At 41.6% G+C, this 26,325-nt stretch overlaps 2 protein-coding genes across 13 annotated transcripts in view, besides 5 other annotated features; one reads left to right on the forward strand and one right to left on the reverse strand.

Annotated features, from left to right (window-relative positions):
* On the reverse strand, nucleotides 110-10,232 carry PTRH2 (peptidyl-tRNA hydrolase 2). 3 transcript variants are annotated; one of them, NM_001015509.3, is made up of 3 exons: nucleotides 10,173-10,232; nucleotides 1,673-2,991; nucleotides 110-780 (listed from the first exon to the last, which is right to left on the reverse strand). In NM_001015509.3, exons 2-3 carry the CDS (start codon nucleotides 1,673-1,675, stop codon nucleotides 241-243), a joined length of 543 nt encoding a protein of 180 aa, NP_001015509.1. In that variant the 5' UTR covers nucleotides 1,676-2,991; nucleotides 10,173-10,232; the 3' UTR covers nucleotides 110-240. The 3 variants fall into 3 exon arrangements, with proteins under 3 accessions (NP_001015509.1, XP_011523189.1, NP_057161.1); XM_011524887.3 differs by lacking the exon at nucleotides 1,673-2,991 and having other exon boundaries at nucleotides 10,182-10,232; NM_016077.5 differs by lacking the exon at nucleotides 1,673-2,991.
* Nucleotides 6,083-6,587: an enhancer, noted in NCBI's record as "H3K4me1 hESC enhancer chr17:57780642-57781146 (GRCh37/hg19 assembly coordinates)". NCBI's record gives its function as "activates a minimal SCP1, AML or CMV promoter by ChIP-STARR-seq in naive H9 embryonic stem cells {active_cell/tissue: H9 hESC(naive)}" and the evidence as "EXISTENCE:reporter gene assay evidence [ECO:0000049][PMID:30033119]".
* Nucleotides 6,588-7,091: an enhancer, noted in NCBI's record as "H3K4me1 hESC enhancer chr17:57781147-57781650 (GRCh37/hg19 assembly coordinates)". NCBI's record gives its function as "activates a minimal SCP1, AML or CMV promoter by ChIP-STARR-seq in naive H9 embryonic stem cells {active_cell/tissue: H9 hESC(naive)}" and the evidence as "EXISTENCE:reporter gene assay evidence [ECO:0000049][PMID:30033119]".
* Nucleotides 10,046-10,701: an enhancer, noted in NCBI's record as "NANOG-H3K27ac-H3K4me1 hESC enhancer chr17:57784605-57785260 (GRCh37/hg19 assembly coordinates)". NCBI's record gives its function as "activates a minimal SCP1, AML or CMV promoter by ChIP-STARR-seq in primed H9 embryonic stem cells {active_cell/tissue: H9 hESC(primed)}" and the evidence as "EXISTENCE:reporter gene assay evidence [ECO:0000049][PMID:30033119]".
* The window catches only part of VMP1 (vacuole membrane protein 1), a 134,602-nt gene continuing 118,732 nt past the window's right edge, over nucleotides 10,456-26,325 (forward strand). For 9 of the 10 annotated variants that reach the window (NM_001329395.2, NM_030938.5, NM_001329397.2 and 6 more), the window contains exon 1: nucleotides 10,456-10,550. The gene's annotated coding sequence lies outside the window, so the exon portion shown is untranslated. Of the gene's footprint in view, nucleotides 10,880-26,325 lie in introns of all 10 variants that reach the window. The other variant, NM_001329394.2, reaches the window with a different exon arrangement.
* Nucleotides 10,502-10,561: an enhancer, noted in NCBI's record as "active region_12514". NCBI's record gives its function as "activates an Ori minimal core promoter by ATAC-STARR-seq in GM12878 lymphoblastoid cells {active_cell/tissue: GM12878}" and the evidence as "EXISTENCE:reporter gene assay evidence [ECO:0000049][PMID:35858748]".
* Nucleotides 19,988-20,487: an enhancer, noted in NCBI's record as "H3K4me1 hESC enhancer chr17:57794547-57795046 (GRCh37/hg19 assembly coordinates)". NCBI's record gives its function as "activates a minimal SCP1, AML or CMV promoter by ChIP-STARR-seq in naive H9 embryonic stem cells {active_cell/tissue: H9 hESC(naive)}" and the evidence as "EXISTENCE:reporter gene assay evidence [ECO:0000049][PMID:30033119]".

Below are 26,325 nucleotides of genomic sequence, written 5' to 3' on the forward strand. Positions count from 1 at the left end.
GACCTGTTTCTCTCATCTTAAATATCTGTTTCAGCCTCTCACTTGAACCACCAAGACCATTTAACCAACAGTACTGTTTTTAAGCCCAAGATGACAACTGCCAACCATAGAACATGGGAATAGGTTTTATTTTCATCTCAAGAACATTTAAGTTGGGTGAAGAAATTCAGCTTTTGTTGTTAGAATCTGACAGGCTTCAAACACTTGTGATGGAGGGGTTGTTGTCATATCAAAGTCCACCTAGTAAAGTTTTAGGTGACCAGTGACTTTGTCAATTAGGTCTGCTGGTCCTGGCCCAATCCCTAGGACAGTTTGAGAGCCTGGTGCAATCTGAGTACGTCCAGCATCTTGAATTAAACTTACAGTCAGTCCCAGCATTTTTGCATGGGCCAATAATGCAATCAGGGTTTCTTCATCAGGAGCTTTGACCACCACCTTGGGCTGGCCACAGTATTCCCATTGTTTGAGCATTTCAGGATTTCTTCTTTGAATCTGCTTGTAGGCTGAAACAGCAGCATGAGAGCACTGGGCAGCCACTTTCCCTTTTCCCATCTTTAAGTCATTTCGAACCACAAGAATCATCTTGTACTCCCCGCTGTCTCCCAAGATGCTTGCTTCACTTTCAGTATCTGTGTGTGTCTTGCTCGTCTTGCTTTTGGGGAGCATCCCAAAGCATACTCGAAGGCTCCAGCCCAGGCACATGCCACAAGCAACTCCAACAGCCAAGCCGAGTGTACTGGGATGAGCCAAATATTCCATAACCAAGGATTTGGAGGGCATCTTAAAGGAAAGGAAAACAGTTATCACTATCCGGCAGTAACAACTTACAGAGGTATAGGCTTATCAGAGAAACATTTTGACTATACACTTAATGGTCATCCAGAAAAAAGGCAAAACACACCTTTGATCTTATGCCTGCACCCTGTTTCCAACACCCTCTTGCCCACCACCAGTGTACTAGAAAAGATTCAAGCATCCACATGAAACAGTTTAGGTCATTTTGAATCTTGATGTAAACGAAGTTGCATAAAGTTCAAAAACTCTATTCCTCAGTCTTCCCTTAGTCTTGTGGAGATGTTCCGTTTTACCAAGATGCCTAAGATTTAAAGAAACCAAAAATAACCCTTTCCTGGAATACAGTGCTAATCGGTGTTTTCACAATGCAGTGGTTCTCAGTGGAGATGGTATCAAATCAGTTACCCTCAGAAGAACCTCACTGTCACATTAATGGGCCTGGAGTGAGGTGCACTACTGAAATTTACTAAGCCTGAGCAAGGATGCTAAAAACCTTACAAAATGAAGAGTTGTCCCATTGGACGTGAGTGCAGCTGAAAAACTTAATAACTGAGATGAGAACTCAACATCATTTTACTTAAGAACACAAAATATTTTTTGCATAGTTTTACTATGTACAGGTGCTCCTCAATTTTCCATGGGGTTATATCCCAATTAACCCAATTAATTGAAAATACTGTAAGCCAAAAATGCATTTAATACACCTACAGAATATCATGACTTAGCCTAGCCTACCTTAAATGTGCTCAGAACACTTACATTAGCCTACAGTTGGACAAAAATCATCTAACACGAGGCTCTTTTATAATAGTGTTGAATATCTCCTGTAATTTATTGAATACTGTAAGTGGAAAACAATGGTTGTATGGGTACTCACCATTAATTTACACAGCTGAAAGCACAGTGGTCCTGAAAAATGTTTGAAGCACTGAAATAGAATTAATTGCTGGATGATGGGGATGCAACAGGGTCCTCAATTTCTCTCTCTTCTGATGAACATCGAGAATAGGTGGTAGAAGGCATTGGGACATCAACACTAGTTGATGGTTTAGCAAGCATAGTGTTGTTCTTCAGGAAGATACCAAGTTTTGACCGTACAGCTTGTTTCTTCTTTTCACTATATATTTCTCTGTAGCAAGCAAGAGCATCCTGTATCTGCGCCTGTCAACTGTGGCGAATCTCTCGTAATTGACGTCCATTTCTTCTAACGTGTAGGCCACTGCTGATAGCAGCAAATGCCTCTGCCAGTTTCTTTGCTGTGAACTTTCTAGGTGCCGTGGGTGTAACTTCTTCCACTGCCTCAACGCCTTTACCTCTTTCTTCCTCCAGTGCAATCAGCTCCTTATTGCAAAGATCTTTAGCCATAATTATCCTATGCAGCTGTTCCTTAAAAGCTATGGCACCTTCATTACCAGCACGTGCTGCCTCACCAGTGATCTTTACATTGTGAAAATTATGACGCCTTTTGAAGCGCTGGAACCATCCATGACTTGCTTTAAACATTTGTGTATATGTAGGATCACTGGCACGGTCTTTTAGCATATTAAAAAGACTTCTTGCCTTAGCCTGGATCATCAGTAGGCTAAGTGGTATACGCTTCTGTATCTGGTCTTCCATCCACATAACAAGTAATTTTTCCATATCATCAATTGGTCCAGCCCTTTTCTTTGTGATGACAGTGGATTTAACTGATGCTGACGATTTCGCTGCATCACTGATTTGCTTCTTATCCCTTAAGATGGTTGAAATCGTGGATTGCCAAAGTCCTAACTCACGTGCAATGGCCATTACTGGCTTGCCACCTTCATGCTGGGCAATTATCTTGAGTTTCATTTCAAGAGTAATTGCCTTCCTCTTCTTCATCTCACCAGAAACAGGAGACACTGATGGACATTTTGTAGACATGATGGAATGTGAAAACACAAAACACAATATCCAAAAAAGCTGACAACACAGTACACGGTAGAGGATGGGTTGTTGATTCCCGTGATCACATGGGTGACTGGGAGCTGTGGCTCGCTGCCGCTGCCCAGCATCACAAGAGTGTACTGTACCACATTATCACTAGGCCAGGAAAAGATCAAAATGCAAAACTCGAAGTACAGTTTCTACTGAATGGGTGTCTCTTTCACACCATCCTAAAGTTGAAAAATCCTAAGTCGGAGACTGTCCATACTGAATTTTCCAGAAGTGTAGCTATCATAAAACAAAGGAATGTCATCCTTTATTATTTTAGAAAATCTTGCTACTTCGGCAAAGCTGTTCATAATATTTGAGTCACCAATAAGACACTTATATCAGTCTACAAATGAGGCTGCTGGATTCACAGTGCTTCTATGTGGCAAGCAACTATCAGTTTCTTTTTCTAGTGGAGTATTATCTAAGCATTTATAAACATGGGGCCACTATATTTGTAATGCACTGTATTTGTAATGTAAAGTGGTGCCCTTGGAATTGTGCACTGCATGATTGGCACGGCATAGATGACAGCCCTGGAAGTACTTATAAATTTCCTTTATGTTCTTCTTTAAAGTTAGGGCATTATATTAACATTCTTTCCACTAATTTTAACATAAAAGGGGTTACTGTCTTTGGTGGGGCAGAAATTCGTTTGAGGTGGGGTCAAGAGATAGAGCAAAAAGAAAAAGCAATGGATATAAGGCGACACAGAGGAAAGCAATTTTTTTTTTCTCCTAAGAAGAAAGGATAAGCATATTTAAATGTTAATAGGATGAAGCCAGAAGAAAGGCAGGTAAATGCTCAAGATAGAGAAAGACTTTATAAAGGGATGTGGTTTTGGAAAGGAAAAGGGACACCTTTCCCAATTTCAGTTTTAAATCAAGTAGGTCCACGGATTTGAAGGCAGGAAAGTATTCCCCCTGAGGGAAGGAGCTCAGACAGAAGTTAAAATGGAGTAGAGAAGAGAAAGGCGGAAATAAAAGGTGTGGCAAAATATGGCAGGATTGCAGAGGAATATTGAAAGCATGGTTAAGATTAATGATGACTTTTTAATGGCAACATACTATTTGTGATTTTCTCCAGTAGTACTTAGAAGCCAAAAGACTAAAACTACTAATCACTTCCTCCAGACATACAAACTAACCTCCATCCACACTCATCCTTTGCTCTCCCCTCCTACTGAAATGGTAGTTGGATGTATCCAAGTTTAAATTATGCCAGGAGCACGCCCCAAGACACAGTGGTACAAGGGAATTTAGGATAAGGGTAAGAATGTTTGACATGATAGACCATGCAACCTGTGTTATTACATTTTTCTCTTTTGGCCTACCTGATAAAAAGCAACCTGTATTATCAAAGACTGATTTATGGACAATAAAGTGATGCATGCTATTTATCTAGACATGCTGTTGAAGAACAGGTGTAATGAAAGTAAACTGGAAAGACTTAGAGCGATGCATAGGGTTTTGATTTTGGAGACGAACAATTACAAAGAACATAGCTATAGGAATGGGTATCTGAAATAGAAGTGTGACTACTTTCTACTTTTTCAATTCTTTTAGTTTTATGATATACTGCTTCCCTTCCACAAATACTGATTGACCCTGTTCTAGAATCTAAGGGATACAGGAGTGCACAAAGCAGAAAAAGTCCTTTCTCTAATGAAGCTTACATTTTAGCAATGGTTTTGAAATGGTCCAATCCTAATTTTGAATTTCTTTCATGCTGTTTTAAAACTTTGGGGTTTTTTTGTTTGTTTGTTTGTCTATTTGAGATGGAGTCTCGCTCTGTCGCCCAGGCTAGCATGCAGTGGCGCGATCTCAGCTCACTGCCAGCTCCGCCTCCCGGGTTCATGCCATTCTCCTGCCTCAGCCTCCCTACAGGCACCCACCATCACACCCGGCTAATTTTTTTTTTTTTTTTTTGTATTTTTAGTAGAGACAGGGTTTCACCGTGTTAGCCAGGATGGTCTCAATCTCCTGACCTCGTGATCCGCCCACCTCGGCCTCCCAAAGTGCTGGGATTACAGGTGTGAGCCACTGTGCTCGGCCAAAACTTTGTCTTTATAGCTCAAAATTTCCACAATACTTTGACATGTATTGTTATTTGATCCACTGAGAAGTGAGGATTACTGCCATATCAAAAATGAAGAAATTCAGACCAAGAGAAGTTAAGTTCAATAAAACAAATGTTTACTGGCTATCTATGTGCCAGCCATACACCCTGTTAAGCTGAGGATATAGTGATGAATATGGGCCACTGTCAGCTGTTCATAGATAAGTAGTGAAGACAAATAATTGCAAGACTGGTAAATGTTATAAAAAGGTGTTTGACAGTCCCATCGGGGGTGAGATGGGAGGCAGTAACAGATCATCAGACATTAGATTCTCATAAGAAGTACACAACACAGATCCCTCGCATGGGCAGTTCATAACAGGGTTCACACTCGCATGAGAATCTAATGCTGTCGCTAATTAGACGGAGCTCAGGAGGTAATGTTAGCGATGGGGAGTGGCTGCAAATACAGATAAAACTTCACTCAGTTGCCCACCACTCACCTCCTGCTGTGCGGCCCAGTTCCTAACAGGCCACAGGGACGCCTGTTCTAAAAGATACCTGAGCCTTGACTAGCAGTTGGCAATAGATACAGGGAGATCATTTCAGAGGCTGCTATAATGTAGTAATAGTTAACATTTATGAAGTGTTCTGCTACACACTGGCTAAACACTCTATAGGAATTGTCTTCTTTAATGTGCCTAACAGCACTTCAAGGTAAATAGAGCTGGTCATGGACTTACTGTAGTTTCGCTTAAGCTTTTTGGCTTTACAATGGTTCAAAAGCAACACATATTCAGTAGAAACTTTACCCATACAAACATTCTGTTTTTCACCTTCAGTACAGTATTCAACGAATTACATGAGATATTCAACACTTGTAGGCCTTATGTTAGATGATTTTGCCCTATTGTACGCTAATAAATTAAGTGTTCTGAGCACCTTTAAGGTAGGCTAGGCTAAACTACCATGTTTGGTAGGTTAGGTGTATTAAATTTATTTCCAACTTCTATTTCCTTTTCTAAGAGACAGGGTTTCACTCTTTTGTCCAGGCTGGAATACAGTGGAGTGATCATAGCTCACTGCAGCCTCGAACTCCTGAGCTCAAGCAATCCTCCCACTTCAACCTCCCCAGTAGCTGGGACTACAAGCACATACCACCACACACTGCTAATTTAAAAAAAAACTTTTTTTTTTAAGACACAGGGGTTTCATTATGTTGCCCAGGCTGGTCTCGAACTCTGGGCCTCATATGATCCCTCCCACCTCAGCCTCCCATGTAGCTACATTTACAGGCATGAGCCACTGTGCCTGGCTCTCAATTTATGGTACTTTCAATTTATGATGGGTTTATCAGGATATAACCCCACCCTAAGTTGAGAAGCATCTATATATAATTATGATCCCCATTTTTCGGATGTAGAAAAATGAGGTACACAAGTTATAGCTTGCCTAAATTCACCCAGCTCATAAGTGGTCGTCTTAATCCAGAGCCCTTGTTCTTTTTTCTTTTTGAGACAGAGTCTTGTTCTTGTCTCCCATGCTGGAGTGCAATGGCACAATCTCGGCTCACTGCAACCTCTGCCTCCTGGGTTCAAGTGATTCTCCTGCCTCAGCCTCCCAAATAGCTGGGATTACAGACACCCGCCACTACACCGAGCTAATTGTTTGTATTTTTAGTAGAGACGGGGTTTCACCAGGTTGGCCAGGCTGGTCTCAAACTCCTGATCTCAGGTGATCCAGCCACCTCGGCCTCCCAAAGTGCTGGGATTACGGGCGTGAGCCACCATGCCCTGCCGAGCCCTTGTTCTTTTTTTTGGAGACGGAGTCTCACTCTATTGCCAGGCTGGAGTGCAGTGGTGCAATCTTGGTTCACTGCAACCTCCACCTCTGGGGTTCAAGTGCTTCTCCTGCCTCAGCCTCCCAAGTAGGTGGGACTTCAGGCATGTGCTACCACACCCGGCTAATTTTTGTATTTTTAGTAGAGATGGGGTTTCACCATGTTGGCCAGGCTAGTCTCGAGCTCCTGACCTCAGGTGATCCACCCACCTCGACCTCCCAAAGTGCTGGGATTGCAGGCGTGAGCCACCATGCCCTGCCGAGCCCTTGTTCTTAACATTACTATATCAGGCCTCTCCCAGCAGTCTAGATGAGATGATGGTCATTTAGACAACAGTAGTGGGAATGAGAAATAAAAAAAGTGTCTAAGGTACACCTGTCTGATTTAGTGACTGACAGGAAGTCTGGTGGCAAAAGAAAGGGAGAAGTTAATAATGACAGCTAGATTTGAACAAATGGAGAATTTTGGTGAAATACCAGGTTTGAATGGAAAAGATAATGAATTAGTTTTGTTCTGAACAAAAGACATCTCAGAGATATCTAGAAAGAAGAAAAAAAAGGATATATCAGCTTAAAGGACAGAAAGGTCTAGGATATATCAGTTTAAAGTCAGAAAGGTCTGGGCTGGAAATATAGATTTGAGAGACCTTACCATATAATTGAAGTTACTGAAGAGATGGAAGAGTATGAGGCCACTTGGACAAATATGTAGAATGAAGAAAGGACTAAAACATAATCCTGAGGAAATGAACATTAGGAATCAAAGGAGACTGACATGGAGTGGCCAGGAGTAGGAGGGTCACATAGGGTAAGCTGTAGTGCACCTAGTTTCAGTGCTCTTCCACTCAAGTGCCTAAATACGGTGACAGGGCTGCACAGACATAGTATTTATGGTTCTAGTGCCTTTACAGCCCCCACCCCCTAAAAGAGACAAAGACAGAGAATTCTTTTTTTTTTCTTAAGACGGCATCTCACTTTGTCACCCAGGCTGGAGTGCAGTGGCGCCATCTCAGCTCACTGCAACCTCTGCCTCCGGGTTCAAGCAATTCTCCCGCCTCAGCCTCCCACGTACATGGGATTACAGGCACCCGCCACCACACCTGGCTAATTTTTGTATTTTTAGTAGAGACGGGGTTTCACCATGTTGGCCAGGCTGGTCTCGAACTCCTGACCTCAAGTGATCTGCCTGCCTCAGCCTCCCAAAGTGCTGGGATACAGGCATGGGCCACCATGCCTGGCCAAGTTTCTATTTGATGCTTACATATCAGCAGGACTTTTCTTTGATAATCTAACAACCAGACTCCAAACTGAACAAATATGCAATGTCAGCAATTAGGATTCTCTGAAATAATTTCTAGGCTGCAAAGTAACCAAATATCCCATACACTACATTCCGGTACTATCTGGAGAAGGAACTGCTCTACATAGAGAAGCTATTATGTGCTGGATAACATACTAAATCCTTTATATCCATTACCTCATTTATTGTTGCTATGAACACATAAAAAGGAAGATATATTAGCCTCATTTTAAAGATGAGAAATATGAGGATCAAACAGAGAAGTTGCCTTTTTCTTTATTTTTTTTTAAAGAGAAGGGGTCTCCCTCTGTCACCCAGGCTAGAGTTCAGTGGCATGATCATAGCTCGCTACAGCCTCAAACTCCTGGGCTTAAGCAATTCTCCTACCTCAGCCTTCCAAGTAGATGGGACTACAGGTGCATGCCACCACACCCTCCTGATTTTTTAAAAATTTTTTATTTTTGTATGGACTTGGTCTTGCTATGTTGCCCAGGCTGGTCTGGAACTCCTGGCCTCAAGGAGTTGCTTGAGGTCGAGGCAGCAGCATCTCGAGTCCAGTTCAAAACCAATCTGGGCAACCCAGTGAGACCTCATCTTTACAAAAAATTTAAATAATTAGCCAGATGTGGTGCCACATGCCCATACTCCCAGCTACTCAGGGGATAAGGTAGGAGGACACCTCAGGCTGGGAGGTGGAAATTGCAGTGAGCCATGATCGTGCCACTGCACCCCAGGCTGGACAACAATGCAAAACCCTGTCTCCAAAAAAAAAAAAAAACCCAATAAGATCAAAAACAGGACAGTGAAAGTTCCAAAAGTTACCAAGTTTATTTATTATGTCCCATATCTCAATGGAGTGTCTAATCATAAAAATGCTAAAATTAACACATATTTTTGTTCTTTAGGATGTTCTAATCTCATATTAATCTGATCAGATTATCATCTAACTCCTCTAAAACAACATGTCTGTCTCTTTTTCTGTACACTTACGACAAGCGTATCAATAAGCCTAGTGCCTAAGACTAAGGTAAAACAAATAACCATTCTTTGTCTCATAAATAATTCTGGGCAATGACAGCAGAACAAAATAAGTACATCCTATAAAATCTTCTTCTTGGTGCCTTCTAATTCCCCTGCCTCAGTAAACCCATTTCAGTAGTGCTCTTGATCCCATTACCTCCTTCTGCACCATGCTCCACCCGTTAATCTTTTTTTAAGAGACAGGGTCTCACTATGTGGCCCCCTATGTGGCCCAGGCTGTTCTCAAACTCCTGGGCTCAAGCAATCCTCCTGTCTCAGCCTCCCAAAGTGTTGGATTACAGGCTGAGCCACCGCGCCGGGTCTGCAGTTTACAACCGAAAAAAACAAACAAACCTTTCCCAAATCTTCTCTGACCCTTAAGCCACTGCCCCACTTTCCCTGTATAACATATTCCCAGAGTCTAGTATGGTGCCTGGGGTATGTCAGTAAGGATTAATACCTCTCTAGTTAATCTCTTTGTGTGAAAAAGGGGGGAAATTTTTTCTTTCTTTTTTTTTTTTTTCTGAGACGAAGTCTCACTCTGTCGCCCAGGCTGGAGAGCAATGGAGCGATATCGGCTCACTGCAACCTCCGCCTCCCGAGTTCAAGTCATTCTCCTGCCTCAGCCTCCCGAGTAGCTGGGATTACAGGCACGCGCCACCACGCCGGCTAATTTTTGTATTTTTAGTATAGATGGGTTTTCGCCATGTTGGCCAGGATGGTCTCGAACTTCTGACCTCAGGTGATCCGCCCACATCAGCCTCCCAAAGTGCTGGGATTACAGGCGTCAGCCACCGCGCCCGGCCCCAAATTTTCGACTATATTCTTAGAAACCAATTCTTTCCACGCAGAGCTCGACAGCTCGAAACGCTGGGGATATTCATAAGTGCCCAGCTGAGGGTATGAGGCCTGCTCGCTATTTTATCAATTTCGGAGAGAGCGCATCGATACTGCCTGCCTGGAGGCTTTGCTGGGAACTAGAAATTCTGAGTCTTCCCCTCCCCAGCAGCCTGTTCCTTTCCTCCAAAGGACGGTTCGCAGAACAGGAACAGAGGGCTCAGCGGCCCCTGGGCGGAAGACAGTTTATAAAGGAGAAAATGAAGAAGGTGGGTAATGCAACGAGGTGAAAAGAAACGTTCCTACTGGCGAGAAAATGAATAATGATATTGGTCTCCTTCGCCCTGTAAGGAGCCAACCAACCTACCTACAGTACCTCCTTTCCTCACTCGCGCCTTCCCTTCTTCTGGGCAGCGAACACGTTTCTATCGCGTGAGCTACCTCTTCCGGGGTTCCTGGGTGACAAGTTCCGGATCAAGAATCACAAAGCGAGCAGTCATTCTTCCTCTTGCCACACCCACAGGGCCCGCACTAAGAGCCTAACTGAAATCCCGCGAGGATCAACCGAGCTCGCCGAAAGGAGGGAGGAACGTATCCCTTCTGGAGGCTGTCTCAGGGGGCAGAGGGACCGGACCGGAAGTGACGTGAGCGGGTTCCGGTTGTCTGGAGCCCAGCGGCGGGTGTGAGAGTCCGTAAGGAGCAGCTTCCAGGATCCTGAGATCCGGAGCAGCCGGGGTCGGAGCGGGTAGGTAAACTAACTCAGGGAATTGGGGACCGAAGCCTGAGGCTGTCCTCAGAGCTTGGCGTCTTCCGGAGCTCTCCCACTTAGGCATTGCGGATCTGGGGCACTGTGATTCCGACTTCCAGCAGTGTTTTAGGACGCTGCTGACTGGATGTCTCACCCTGGATGTCTCACGCTGGCGGTAGCCAGGTTATTTGGGACACCTTCTCATGGTTGGTCACCCGGACATTGAACCCAGACACCGGGCTGTTCGTTCTCCTCTCCGCGTACTTGGAAGCCTTGCTAGGCTTCTTTAGAGAACCTCTTAGTCCCGGGATGTCCAGGACCTTGGAGTAAGTGGAGAAGGTCTTCCCTGCTGATGACTGAGCTATTTCTCAGGATCTGTCAGTTTGGTTTTTGCTCTCCCGAACCTCTGGCGCATGATGCTAGATGTATTCGCTCCTAAACGAAATCCAGGCGTGCAAGTGCCATCTAAAGCTCTGGTGGTACAGGGTAGCCAAGGGAATGGGCCTTCGCTCCGCAGAGCCCTTGGAGAGGAACTTCTCAGATTTTTCACTGCTTTAATGAAAAAGAGTTGTCTGCCTTTCCAAACCCCTGAACCCCGACCTCTATATCTTATTACAGTGGAGGTATTTGCAGTAAAACGTGAAGGTCGACTTAATCTCTAAAATTCCAGAAACCATATGTGGCCCTGTGTCACACTGCTAGATTACTTATGACCTCCAGAAGATTTTACACAATCATCTTTTATTTACCTGCAACTCCATGTAAAAATCTAATAATACACGTAGACTGGCCACTGTTGATGTGTTTTGGCAGCATCGCTCCTTATCCTAATGTTAACGTCTTTCATTTCTACTTTGGGGCTTGTCAGAGATTTTTGTGGACAGATTACATTGATCATTTGAAGAAGCTTGTACAAGTGTTTCTGGTGTTGTCATGATAGAATTTAATATTCCAGTTGCTACTACCTAGTAATTGTATTGTCATTAGCTCTGATTTTAGTTGTGTATTCTTAGCATAGATGATGAAAGGAAGAAACTTACTTACTAGGCATCATTGTATGCATTGTAGCTTATGTTTTTACTGTGGAAGAGGGATGGTGGTACCTAGACAAATGTGACTGATTTGTGTAGGTATGAAGTGACTCTCTCGAGTAGAAATTTTATATTTTACTACTTTGCCTACATTATCTTAAGGCACTGAAGGTTACTTTTTTCCTTTGAGGGATATATCCTACTTGATTACAATTGATTAATACAGTTTAATTTCTATGAGTCACATTCCAGAAGAAAATATACATAGAACCATGATGCCTTTTACCAGTTTACCTATAGCTAGTTAAATCAGTTTGTCAGTTTACATATTTTTCTTATTTTGAGTTTGAAAATTTGTTCACGCTTGGCTTTGAAACAAGGTGACAAAATTTGAGATATGGAATTATGATAGATGTATCATTAGTTTAACATTCGGTAAATTTGCTTCTTGATTATATAACTGCCAAATCTGATCTTATCTTCTTTATGTTCAATTGAAGGACTGATTATCCAGTTTTTCTCACTTTTCCAACTTCTCGCTTTTGGCTTGAATCACCACTTTTTAGGATTTTGGTAACTATTAAACTTTAAATCAGAAGACCTGGATTGAAGTCTGGGCTCCAACACTTGTTAAGTAATGGCTGATAGGTTACCTAACATTCTGAGCTGGTCTAGATTGTGTTGATAAAAATTCTGCTCACTTTCTTTCATACAACTGTCACAAAGATTAAATGAGCTAGTAAACATGAAATTATTAAATATGAAAATATGGTATCACTTTACTCTTAGAACTGGAGATATGTCAGTGTAGAATACTGTTACTTTGCATCATTATCTGAAAATATTATCACATACTTTTCTGAGATGATCTTTGCCCCACCTTTGAAAGTTAGCAAAGAATAGTTTGATACCGTGATCCATTGAATTAGTCACCATGGTTAATAAATAGGTTCCTGGAAAATGAGTATAGTTTTGCATTCGGGAGTTTAAATCTGATCCTTTTTGGTCGTCATGTATTGTCACTTCAGAACTTCCAAGTGCAGAAAAAGCTGAAGTTTTTTGCCTACGTATAGTTAACTAAAGAGTAGAAGTAGTCCTATCTTACTTACATTAAATAAGAAACCTTATTATTGGGCCGGGCGCGGTGGTTCACGCTTGTAATCCCAGCACTTTGGGAGGCCGAGTTGGGCGGATCACGAGGTCAGGCGATCGAGACAATCCTGGCTAATACAGTGAAACCCTGTCTCTACTAAAAATACAAAAAATTAGCCGGGCGTGGTGGCAGGCGCCTGTAATCCCAGCTACTCCGGAGGCTGAGGCAGGAGAATGGCGCGAACCCAGGAGGCGGAGCTTGCAGTGAGCCGAGATTGCGCCACTGCACTCCAGCCTGGGAGACAGAGCCAGACTCCGTCTCAAAAAAAAAAGAAACATTATTATTTCACTGAAACCAATATTTAGAATTAGAAGGAATCTCTGTGAATGTATAAGTAGATTCCCATTTAACAGAGGAGAAAATTAAGGCTCAGAAACAATCAGTAATTAGTAATTGGCTTGCTTGAGGTCATCTGGCTTAGGTAGTGCTAGAACCTGAACTGTAAGGTCTCAAGTGTTCTTTCTGTTCTAACAAGGTTGTATCCAGGCATCTTATTATGGTTTGGTAATATTTCCAAGTTCACATGAAAATAATTACTCTTAGGTATTAAAGGGATCTATCCACATACACACGTAAATACACACATACGCACATAAGCCTTATTTACAAACTTTTTTTCCCTCTTTAGCTAGTTTAGTCTTATAAATTGTAGCATAACAAAAACTGTGCTTGGCTAGATTTGAAGTGTAATAGATTAAGGAAAGAAAATCAGTTATATTCTTCAGAATAGTTTGTCTGAGTTCATGCTTCATGACTGTCATGTGTTGAGTTATCTTTCTGGCAAGTGGAAATGACGGAGGAGCCTTAACACGTGTCTACTGTGAATGTTGTTGCTAAAGAGTAGGAGAGAACTGGCCAGGCGCCGTGGCTCACGCCTGTAATCCCAGCACTTTGGGAGGCCGAGGCGGGAAGATCACCTGAGATCAGGAGTTTGAGACTAGCCTGTCTAACATGGTGAAACCCGGTGTCTACAAAAAATACAAAAAAATTAGCTGGGTGTGGTGGCAGACGCCTGTAATCCCAGCTACTCAGGAGGCTGAGGCATGAGAATCGTTTGAACCCGGGAGGCGGAGGTTGCAGTGAGCCGAGATCGCGCCACTGCACTCCAGCCTGGACAACAGAGCGAGACTCCATCTCAAAAAAAAAAGAGAAGAAAATAAAAGAAAAGCAGTAGGAGAGAACTGTATTATTTGCTCTTACAAAAAAAAAAACCTCCCCAAGCTGTTTGTAATTTTAATATTTTGTTATGTTAATTATCTATTATATATAGAGCCATTTCTCTAGTTATTTTATTCTGGGTAAATAGCCATTGTAGAAGAGTTAATTCTTTGCATTGTTGGGTACTCTTTTTTTTTGGTTCCATTGATTTAACAAACTTTTTAGTCTCTTTAGTCTTTCTCGGAGATGATAGTTCTAGGTGCTACTGTCATTCCTGTTTTTGCCCAAGTGCCCTTGCTGTGTCTCCCATTTTGGTGTGGAAATGAACTCTAGATTAGAGAATCCTAATAAACAGGACAAATTGAAGTGATAACTTTGTCGTGGTTTTGTAAATTGTTACTCTGCTTTCACAAAGCCTTGCAAATATTTTGAGGAATAGTAAATTGCTAAGAGCATATTGCCTCAAGAAATTCCTTATTTTATATGGGAAAGCAGCTTTGGATGGAGTTTGCTGAACTGAAGTTAGGTATTATGTAGGCCCTTATATAAAGCTTATTTTAAAATATGCTCCTTGATTTGCAGCATCAAGGAAATTTGAACAGGAGATAATTTTCTGTGTCAGATAAAAGGTGATACTTAAAGTTTAAGGCATATTTAAATTAAGCAAGGGCAATCTATTGAGTAATTATATCACAGCTAATATACCTATAATTGCTCAAGAGTTTGTTTGTATTCTTGAACTACTTAATCTTTTCAGTAGTTCATGGGAGTATTTTCTCTTGTCCTTGAGTTTTTTAATGATAACTTTGTTCTTTATAGATTACCTGGAAGGACTAGGCAGGTAGTGTTAAAAGCCAGGGCTATAAAGCTAGACTGCTTTTTTTCAAATTCTAGCTCTATTACTATGCAACTCTTGGATTAGTTACTTTTTACTTCTTGCTATCTCAGTTTCCTCCTGGACAATGAAGTCAATACCCTTCTTGTTAGGATTGAATGAATAGGTTTAAATAAAGCATTTAGAACAGTGTCTGTAGCATATAGTTAACCATGATTGTGATCATTATCATCATGTGGCCCCCTAAGCTATTGCCAAGAACTCTTTCCCAGCCCTCTTTTAAAAGCATAGCTTTATGTTGCTGCTTACTTAATTATTGTTTGCTCATTATTAATGAAGTTCCAGTAAATAAATATCTGAGTATACACTTCACTTTGTCTATATTTTACAACATATGTGAGATTCTTAACCAAATGAGGCATTCTTTTGGGCCATTCTGTTAACTTTTTGGTATTAACAGACTACATTATCTGTGTAAGCCATAACACAGAATTTGGCAATTGAAACTTTTGATGTTTCATGATGTCTTTTAGCACTTTCTTGGAATGGAAAGATCATTTTCCAGTGACATCTATTGCCTTATCTGTTCATTATCCAGTCAGTGAACAAACATTTTGTGTCCCAGGCCTTACACCAGGTTCTGGGGAAAACAATGGGAAATAAGAATTGTTAGGAAGGCAGCACATGAGGGTCTAAGAGAGAGTTAACAATGTGGATATATGCTTATTTGAGGCTGGAGCATAATAGACTTGGAATACATTGACATGAGATGATATAGGAAATATATACAGGATCCAGGTCATGCAGAATTTTGCAGGCCAAGGGAATGAGTTTGAATTTGATTTTGAGTGCAGTAGGAAATCATTCTACAATTTTAAGTAGAGGAGTAATAGGATTTATAAGAAGTTCATTGTTGTTCATGTGTGAAGGATGAATTGAAGCGGGCAAGAACAGAAATGGAGAGAGAAGTTGAGAGTCCACTGCATAGTCCAAGAAGAAGATGAAGATGGTCTGGACTAGAAGGGTAGCAAAGAAGATGGACAGTTGTGTGTGGATACCAAATATATTTGGTATAGGACTTGGTCCTGGGTTAGATGAGTGGTAAGAAAAAGGGAAGTGTCAGGGATGACTAAGCTTCTGGATTTAGTGACTGGGTGGGTGGTTGTGCCAGGTACTGGGAGAAGGGAGGTTTGGAGAAGACCAGGTTTGTTTGTTACAAGAAGGTGGGTAGGTGTAGGGAGAAAAGGACATGTTAATTTTGAGACACTTAAAGAATCATCTATGGACACAGGAGGGGGGACATCACACACCGGGGCCTGTTGTGGGTTGGGGGAAGGAGGGAGGGATAGCATTAGGAGATATACCTAATGTAAATGACGAGTTAATAGGTGCAGCACACCAACATGGCACATGTATACATATGTAACAAACCTGCACATTGTGCACATGTACCCTAGAACTTAAAGTATAATAATAATAATAATAATAAATCATCCAAGTCACGCACTTACATATATAAATCTAGAGGTCAAAACCAGAAATACAAATACGGGATAGTATTTTCAACCATGGACCAGATGAGTCACCTGGGGAGATAGGGAGAGGAGAGGGCCAAGGGCAGGTAAAAGAAAGATCTGGGCTGGATGCAGTGGCTCACTCCTGTAATCCCAGAACTTTGGGAGGCTGAGGTGGGTGGATCGCTTGAGTCCAGGAGTTCGAGACCAGCCTGGACAACATGGCAAAACCCCATCTCTCTTTTTTTTTTTTTTTTTTTGTTAAAAAAAAGAGAGACTTTTTTTTTTAACAAAACGGAGACTAAGAAGGTATCTTAGGGCTGGGCACAATGGTTCACACCTGTAATCCCAACACTGAGAGGCCAAGGTGCGCAGATCACTTGAGGTCAAGAGTTCAAGATCAGCCTGGCCAACATGGTGAGACCCCATCTCTACTAAAAATACAAAAATTAGCTGGGCGTGGTGGTGGGCACCTGTAATCCCCACTGCTAGGGAGGCTGAGGCATTAGAATCGCTTGAACCCGGGAGGCAGAGGTTGCAGTGAGCCAAGATCGTGCCACTGCACTCCAACCTGCGCAACTGAGCGAGACTCCGTCTTAAAAGGAAAAAAAAAAAAAAAAAAAAAGAAGGTTTCTTAGTCCGTTTTCTGTTGCTTATACCAGAATACCCGAAACTGGGTAATTTATAAAGAAAAGGAATTTAATTTTTATAGCCGTGGAAGCTGAAAAGTTCAAGATCGAGTGGCCACATTGGGTAAGGGCCTTCTTGCTGGAGGGACTCTGCAGAGTGCCGAGAGTATCACATGGAGGGGGAGCTGAGTGTGCAAGCTCAGTTCTCTTTTTCTCTGCTTATAAAGCAACCAGTCCTACCCCCATGATAACCCATTAATCCATTAACCCATTAATTTATGAATGGATTAATTCATTCATAAGGGCAGAGCCTCCGTGACCCAATCACCTCTTAAAGGCCTTGTCTCACTCTACTGCCACATTAGGGGTTAAATTTTAACATGAGTTTTGGAGGGGACACATACTCAAACAATAATAGGAGTGTTTGAAAGAAGAAAGGTCAGATACACAAAACTAATAAAAGTGGTTACATCTAGCAGGGAGAGTGGGGAGCAAGGTTTTTCACCTTTTTCAAATGTATATATATAATTATTTTAAAGCACATGAAAGTTGTTCTTGCGTTTTTGTTTTTGTTTTTGGTGGGGGGTGGGGGCGGTGCAGGGAGAGGGCTTTGAGCCAGGATCTCTGTCACCCAGGCTAGATTGTTAGATTGCAGTGGCACGATCACAGCTCTCTGCAACCTTGACCTCCTAGGCTCAAGCAATCCTCCCACCTCAGCCCCCTGAGTACCTGGGACCACAGATACCATGAGGTGCATGCCACCACACAGGAGTAATTTTTTAATTTTTTTGGTAGGGATGGGGTCTTGTTATGTTGCCCAGGCTGGTCTTGAACTCTGGCACTCAAGTGATCCTCTCACCTTGGCATCCCAATGTGCTGGGATTACAAGCATGAACCGCTGTGCCTGGCCTATTTCTGTATTCTCTATTCTTTTCCATTGGCTTCTAACTATCCTTTTACCAATATCACACTGTCATGATTACTGTAGATTTATAGTAATTGTTGACATCAGTTAGTGCAAGTCCTTCAACTTTGTTCTTTATCCCAATTGTTTTCGCTACTCTAAGTTTTTGCATTTCTATAAATATTTGAATTGCTTTTTTTATAAAGCTTGCTTGAATTTGATTGATCTTCATTAAGGCTATACATCACTTTGAGGGATTTATTAGTGTGTTTTCACACTGCTATAAAGGTACTACCTGAGACTGGGTAATTTATAAAGGAGAGAGGTTTAATTGACTCACAGTTCTGTATGGCTGAGAAGGCCTCAGGAAACTTACAATCATGGTGGTAGGGGAAACAGGAACCTTCTTCACAAGGCAGCAGAAGAGAAAATAGTGTGAAGGAGGAATTGTCAAACACATAACCATCAGATCTCGTGAGAACTCACTCACTATCATGAGAACAGCATGGGGGAAACGGCCCCCATGATCCAATCACCTCCCTCCCTCAACATGTGGGGATTACAGGACCCTCCCTGGACACATCGGGATTACAGTTTAGGTGGGGACACAGAGCCAAACCGTTTCAGGGGAAATTGACATAGTAACAATATCAAGTCTTCCAAACAATCAACAAAACATGCTAATCATTTATTTAGGCTCTGTATAATTTATTTTCTTTCTTTATTTCGTTTTAGATTTTGCTTATATTTTGTTAAATTTGTCTCTAAATATTTTATATTTTCAGATGTTACTGAATCTGAAATTTTAAAAAATTATTCCAAGTATGTAATAGTCCAATTTTTATTCCAAGTATATGGTGGAAAGTATTAGTTTTGATCTTTTATCCTGTGACCTTGCTAAATTCACTTTGTTCTAGTAGTTCTGAGCATTTAAAATTTTTCTTTTATTTTGGCCTGTGTTATTTAGGACTGTGTGCATTAACTTCTAACTACCTAGAAAATTTTTTATTTTTTTTTTGTACTAAAGGTTGACATAATTTCTGGCTTATCAGAGATTGTCATTTATAATGCCCATTCTTAGCAATTTTTTGAGACTTGTTTCTTAGCTTATTCATAAGTGTGGCTCATGAAAAAGTTCAGTATCCCTACAGTGGTGTTGCTTTAGAGTAGAAAGAATAGAGGATATAAATGTCAGAGCAAGTGTTCACCCAGACTTTTCCAAGTCCAAATTCGGTAGTTCTTCTACTTTAGTGTACACAACAGTCCAGTGAGAGTATTTTCACCCCAGTTATACAAGTGCAAATGCCCCAGGTATTTAGGGACAGTAAAGTAGGGAGTTTCAGATAGTTTCATAGATACTACGTGAGTTTCGTAGATACTTTAAGTACTAAGAATCAATAGGGATGAGTGTTCTGTTAATTCTAGTAATGGGGAACATTTGAAAATACTAGGACAAGCTAAACTTCTGGGACTGTTTTTTCATCTTGTGTGTATATGTGACTCTGGAATTCCTCAGTGACCACTGAAAATCCTCTCACTGGACTGTTTTGTATAGTAGAAGAACTATTGAATTTGGACTTGGAAAAGCGAGGTTGAACTCCTGCTTTGACATTTATATGCTGCCGACTTGCTATTTGGGGCCCTTGGAGCACTCAGTTTCTCATTTGCTAAAAGCAAGGATAAAAATAACAGTCCCTTACAGATGGCTGTTAGCATTATGTTTGTTAACCTATTTTTAAACTATAAATCACTATACAAAAGTAGTTGTTATTACATACATCCAAAACTCTACCCTTGTGCTAGTTGGAATTTTTTTTTACAACTAGAAAGGAAATTATTGCACTCATTTACTCCATGTGACTAATAACTGAATGAGGAAAAAGAGAATCAGGCATGTGAAGTGACAATGCCAAGGTCTCACTCTTAGCCAAATCTCCCAACTCTAGTCTGGTATTCCTTCATTATCTTAATTCTTGACCTTACTCTTAGTCCTCCAATTTTTATTTTTTTTTATTTTTTTTTGAGACGGGGTCTCGCTCTGTCGCCCAGGCTGGAGTACAGCGTTGCGATCTCGGCTTATTGCAAGCTCCGCCTCCCGGGTTCACGCCATTCTCCTTCTTCAACCTCCCGAGTAGCTGGGACTACTGGCGCCCACCACCACGCCCGGCTAATTTTTCATAGACACGGAGTTTCACTGTGTTGGCCAGGATGGTCTTGATCTCCTGACCTCGTGATCCGCCCGCTTCGGCCTCCCAAAGTGCTGGGATTACAGGCATGAGCCACCGCGCTCGGCCGGTCCGCCATCTTTTTGATGAAAATGTTTTGCTAAGATTGCATTGGTTATGAAAAACTGCAGGAACATTTAGAAGTAGATTAAGAGAAAATGAGAAATGGGATTTTTCTTTTTCTAATCTCTTTTTTTTTGGAGACACACTCTTGCTCTGTCACCCAGGCAGGAGTGCAGTGGCACTGTCTAGGCCCACTGCAACCTCCACCTCCCAGGCTCAAGCGATTCTTGTGCCTCAGCCTCCCAAGGAGCTGGGACTACAGGCCTGCACCACCACTCCCAGCTAACTTTCGTATTTTTGGTACAGACAGGGTTCCACAGTGTTGGCCAGTCTGGTCTGGAACTCCTGGCCTCAAACGATCCTCCTACCTCCCACCTCTGGTACAGTGGCTCATGCCTGTAATCCCAGCACTTTGGGAGGCCAAGGCAGGAGGATCACCTGAGGTAAGGCATTTGATAACAGCCTGACCAACATGGAGAAACCTTGTCTCCACTAAAAACACAAAAATTAGCTAGGCATGGTGGTGCGTGCCTGTTATCCCAACTACTCCAGAGGCTGAAACAGGAGAATTACTTGAACCTGGGAGGTGGAGTTTGCAGTAAGCCGAGATGACACCACTACACTCCAGCCTGGATGACAGAGCAGAGCAAGACTTTGTTTTAAAAAGAAAAAAAAAAATCAGACCCAGGGCAGTTTATAATTTTTCAACAATTAGAAACCTGTGATGAGTTGAGTGTATTTTATACATCACTAGATTTAAGTTGAGGAACTTTTTAGGCCAGAAATACCCTCTTTACCTGCTGATCCATTATTGGGAGATTAATGGAGATTCTGAATGTTTTTAAATTGCATCCTAATTTGGGGTTTTGTCTAATTCCCCAAGACTGACTGACTGACTTCCTTTCTTCCTTCCCTCCCTCCTTTTTTTTTTTTTTTTTTTTTTTTTTTTGTGAGACGGAGTCTCGCTCTGTCACCCAGGCTGGAGTGCAGTGGCACAATCTCAGCTCACTGCAACCTCTGCCTTCTGGGTTCACGCCATTCTCCTGCCTCAGCCTCCCAAGTAGCTGGGATTACAGGCGCCTGCCACCACGCCCGGCTGATTTTTTGTACTTTTAGTAGAGATGGGGTTTCACCATGTTAGCCAGGATGGTCTCAATCTCCTGACCTCGTGATCTGCCCGCCTCGGCCTCCCAAAGTGCTGGGATTACAGGTGTGAGCCACCGTGCCCGGCCCCTCCTTTCTTTTCTTTTCCTTTCTCTTAACACGGTCTTACTCTGTCACCCAGGTTGAGGTGCAGTGCCACAATCATAGCTCACTGCAACCTCAAGCTCCTGGACTCAGGCAGTCCTCTGGTCTCAGCCTCCCAAGTAGCTGGGACTACATGCACATACCACCACACCTGGCTAATTGTTTTTGTTTGTTTGTTTGTTTTGTTTCATTTTTTTCTTTTAAGAGATGGGGTCTCACTGTGTTTCCCAGGCTGGTCTGGACCTCCTGGCCTCAAATGATCCTCCTGCCTCAGCCTCCCAAAACGATAGGGTTATTACAGGTGTGAGCCATCACACCCAGCCCTCCCCAAGACCTTAGAAAGTTGAAAAAAATTCAAGAATTTTTTTTCATATATCCCCATTCACATTATTATGAATTTTCAGAGTACACATTCTTTAACTGGAACAACCACATGATAGATATACCACAGATAGACATATCAGATGACACTCTGATATGTCTGATAGTTACTCTGATATTGTGCATTTTATTTGAATTATCTTTGGCCTTATACCCCTGCACAAGTGGAAAACTATATCAAAGCCTCGTTTGTCAAGATATATTACTCAGATTAGTTATTTTGTTTCCAAGAGTAGATCACAATTCCTTAATCTTAACAGTTTTAGGGAAATCTACAGCTATTTTGGAGTAGTCTAATCCAATTAAGAAAAGATACTTCTGGAGGTTGAGGCCAGAGCATCGCTTGAGCCCAAGAGTTCCAGCCTGTGGTGACCTGTGACCATGCTACTGCACTCTAGCCTGAGTGACAGAGGAAGACCCTGTCACAAACAAACAAACAAACAAACAAATAGATACTTCTGAAAGCAAGAAAGGTTACTGAGAAGCATAATACTTATTGGCTATCTTTGTGTGCCTTGTATGAAGAACAATGTGTTTTATTGAGCACACTGACATAATTTTTTTTTGAGAAAGTAAAATTCATCTGGATAGATGATTTTTTTTTTTAAAGAAAGTATGTTCGTTTTATTTTGGGATGATGTTGCCAAGAAAATGAAAATCAATGGTTTTGTTACTCTCACTTTCTTTTCCTTTTCTACCTTGTTAACTGTTCCAATAACTCTTATGTTACTCAGGGAGATGCTTTTATCATGTTATCCATAAATGTTTTTTGTTTTGCTTGGTGGGGGACTCTCAGTAATTTACTTGCACATTGTTTCTGTATTACAAGTGTGACTAATGTTTAAAATGAATGGAGTATTATAGTCTTAGCACTGGATATACAGCCTACAAAGAACCTTTGTGAGCTGATTTTTGCAGTGTTTTCTAAGCACTTCTGCAGGAAACAAATAAAAAAAACCCCACATTTAATGTTAACTCTGTTTTAAATGCTTCAGCTGCAGTTAAGGTCTGTTACACTCTTTTAATGCATTTCTTGTATCTATATAAGTGTTCAAAATGAAAATTATTTGATGTTTGAGTTATGCTTCTGCCCGGTTTGTGTTCTCAACCCCATCCACAGACCTATAAGATTTGTTTCAGCAACCTCATTCTTACAAACAAAACTAACTTACATACGTGCACTCGGTGCAAAGTAGATGCCATTGAAGGTCAAGAATATGTGTTAGATTTCTGTTTGAGGACATTTCAACATTTTAAACAGACTAGGAATACTTGGATTTACTCCTACATCTAGGAATCTCACTGACATTGTATCATCACAGATTTCAAAAATTATTGCTACTTTATTGAATTTTGAAAAGTGGCTCTCATTAAAAATGATTATTTCATCTTACTTTAGCTATGTGGATAGACTAGAACCCTTTTACCTCATAATAATTTTTGACGGATTGTCCTTGTCTTACATTTCAAGATGTTTAGATTGATGAATAATAATTCATTTTTGTTATTCAACATAAACTAAGATTGTTCTAAATCTGTGGCTACTTCTGTTATGTAGGCTATGGAAACCAGTTACATAGGCTTTTGTATAGCATACTAATATGGAAAGGAAGTACCTGTAAGTGAATACTCAGGGCAGCATTTACCATGATTTTTTTGGAAAATTGTGACATTTGAGAAGCATGGAGATTGATGGGTATGATACTGCATTTAAAAATATTAAACAGCATGGAGAAACTAACATTAAGCGACTGCTATGTGCCAGTCACTGTGTAGTGCACTTATATATTATTTATCTTGGCTGGGCGTGGTGGCTCACACCTGTAATCCCAGCACTTTGGGATGCCGAGGCAGGTGGATCACCTGAGGTCAGGAGTTCCAGACCACCCTGACCAACGTGGTGAAACTCCGTCTCTACTAAATACAAAACATTAGCCAGGTGTGATGGCAGACGCTTGTAATCCCAGCTACTTGGGAGGCTGAGACAGGAGAATCGCTTGAACCCGGGAAGCAGAGGTTGCGGTGAGCCGAGATTGTGCCATTGCACTCAAGCCTGGGCAACAAGAGCGAAACTCCATCTCAAAAAAAAAAAATTATCTTAAAGTAGAGAAGCTAACTTGTTGAGAGTCCCCCAAAGCAAAACAAAAACATGATATAAAAATAGGGATGGGGGCCGGGCGCGGTGGCTCACACCTGTAATCCCAGCACTTTGGGAGGCCAAGGTGGGCAGATCACCTGAGGTCAAGAGTTTGAGATCTGCCTGGCCAACATGGTGAAACCCTGTCTCTACTAAAAATACAAAAATTAGCTGGGTGTGGTGGCACACACCTGTAATTCCAGCTACTCGGGAGGCTGAGGCAGGAGAATCGTTTGAACTCAGGAGCTGGAGGTTGCAGTGAGCCATGATCGCCCCATTGCACTCCAGCCTGGGCGACAAGAGCGAAACTCCGTCTCAAAAAAGAAAAATAAGGATGGGGATATTTTACAAATATGCACAAATGCAAATTATTTAACCTAAAACTAGTAAGTCAGGACGTATTGGCAGCTTTCAGCCACCAAGTTTTCCTTTTTCCCTATAAAATGGGTCATGATGAAGATGATAATAAGTAAGATTAACAGGGTATGTTGATGCTAGATTAGTCACTGTTGCAGTTTGAAGACACATACAGTAAATACATCAGGTTTTTCTGGATAAAAGGTAGTCTAGCTAGACAAGATGGCTCACACCTGTATGTAATCCCAGCACTTTGGGAGGCTGAGACAGGAGGAGCACTTGGTACCCAGAAGATCACTCTGGGTAACATAGTGAGACTCTGTCTCTACAAACAAAACAAAACAAAACAAAACAAAACAAAACAATTCTGCAATCTGGATACCCTTATTTATACTAATCAACATTGTATTGCTCTGCCAGGGTTGTCATAACAGAATACCACAGACAAAACATGGCAAAACCCCATCTATGTTTAAACAACAGAAATTGTTTTTCTCCCAGTTTTGTAGGCTGCAAGTCCAAGATCAAGGTGCCAGCAGGGTTTATTTCTGGTGAGGACTCTCTTCCTGGCTTACAGACAGCCACCTTCTCTCTGTGTCCTTACATAGTCTTTCCTCTGTGTCCAGGTAGAAGAGAAAGCTGTCTGGTACTTCTTCCAATAAGGACGTGAGTCCTTATTAGAGTACCACCCTTATTACCTCATTTAACTTTAATTACCTTCTTAAAGGCAGTATCTCCAAATTATAGTCACATGAGTGTTAGGACTTCACCATATGAATTTGGGGGGGCACAATTCAGCCCATTACAAGCATATACTCTCCTTATAGCTAATCAGCATGAGAAGTCAGATTATAAACAAAATACTATTTGGGAGCATGAACTCAAAGGTGGATGGTAAGATGATCAAAGCCGTTGGTAATCATGATGCTGTGTGCCCCAGTAGATAGGAGATTTATATAGGCTAACTTCTGCTGCACTGTGCTGGAGATAGACTTTCTATTTTGTTTTGTTGAACTTCTCTTTTATCATAAAACCAGTCCCCTTAAATTATTTTTTTCAGGCAGTTTAGTTAATAATTTTATGGTTATGAGCCCAGCCTAATAATGCCCCCCAGTGTAACATAAAAAACGTACAGCAACCTGTACTCCCAATTTGATTAGATTTGAGTCTTAGGCTGGGCACAGTGGCTTATGCCCATAACCCCAACACTTTGGAAGGCCAAGGCTAGCAGATCGCCTGAGGTCAGGAGTTGAAGACTAGCGTGGCCAACATGGTGAAACCCCATCTCTACTAAAAAATACAAAAAAATTAGCCGGGCATGGGGGTACATGCTTGTAATCCCAGCTAGTGGGGAGGCTGAGGCAGGAGAATGGCTTGAACCTGGAAGGTGGCGGTTGCAGTGAGCTGTGATAGCTCCACTGACGGTGGAGGTTGCAGTGAGCTGTGATTGCTCTACTGCATGCCAGCCTAGGTGATAGAGCAAGACTGTCTCAGGAAAAAAGATTTGAGTCTTTAACTCCTAAATCACATTTTGGGGCCAGCTCTTACATTACCTCACTTTTCTAGATTGAGCTTGTCCCTTTCAAAATTCTCAGAAAAATAATTTTTGACTTAGTTTGGAGGGTGGGGTTGTCTTCCCAGTAGGTCAGTGTACTCCTAAGATCACCATTGTATCTGGGTCCTGCCTCCAGGTTTGTCACTAACTTGTTCTGTGACATTATACAAGTCCCTTACCTCTGAGATGTTTATCTGTGAATAAGTAGAATAGGCTTGATATTCTCTAAAGTTCCTTCTGTGATTCTAATTATTCTTACAGCATATTCATAAAGCACTTTCATAAAGCAGTATGGCAACATCATTTTGCCTTTGAAAGAAAGAATTGTCAGTATGTAGAGGGTATTTAAGGCTGAGTGAATAGGTGACATCATTAGGGAGAGAATATAAAGGAACATAAAAAGGAATCTAGGACCAGGCTTTGAAGAACCCCAGGACATAGAGCAGGGGGAGCCGTCAGAGAAATAGGAGGAAAAATGAAAGTATTTCAAGAAATAGGGAGTGGATACTTGTGTTCAGCGAAGGTAAGAGATTCAGTAAGACATGTCCTTTGGATTTGGCAAATGGAGGTAATCGATAATCT

The sequence above is a fragment of the Homo sapiens genome, chromosome 17 (assembly GCF_000001405.40).
Source record: "Homo sapiens chromosome 17, GRCh38.p14 Primary Assembly".
Taxonomy (NCBI): domain Eukaryota; kingdom Metazoa; phylum Chordata; class Mammalia; order Primates; family Hominidae; genus Homo; species Homo sapiens.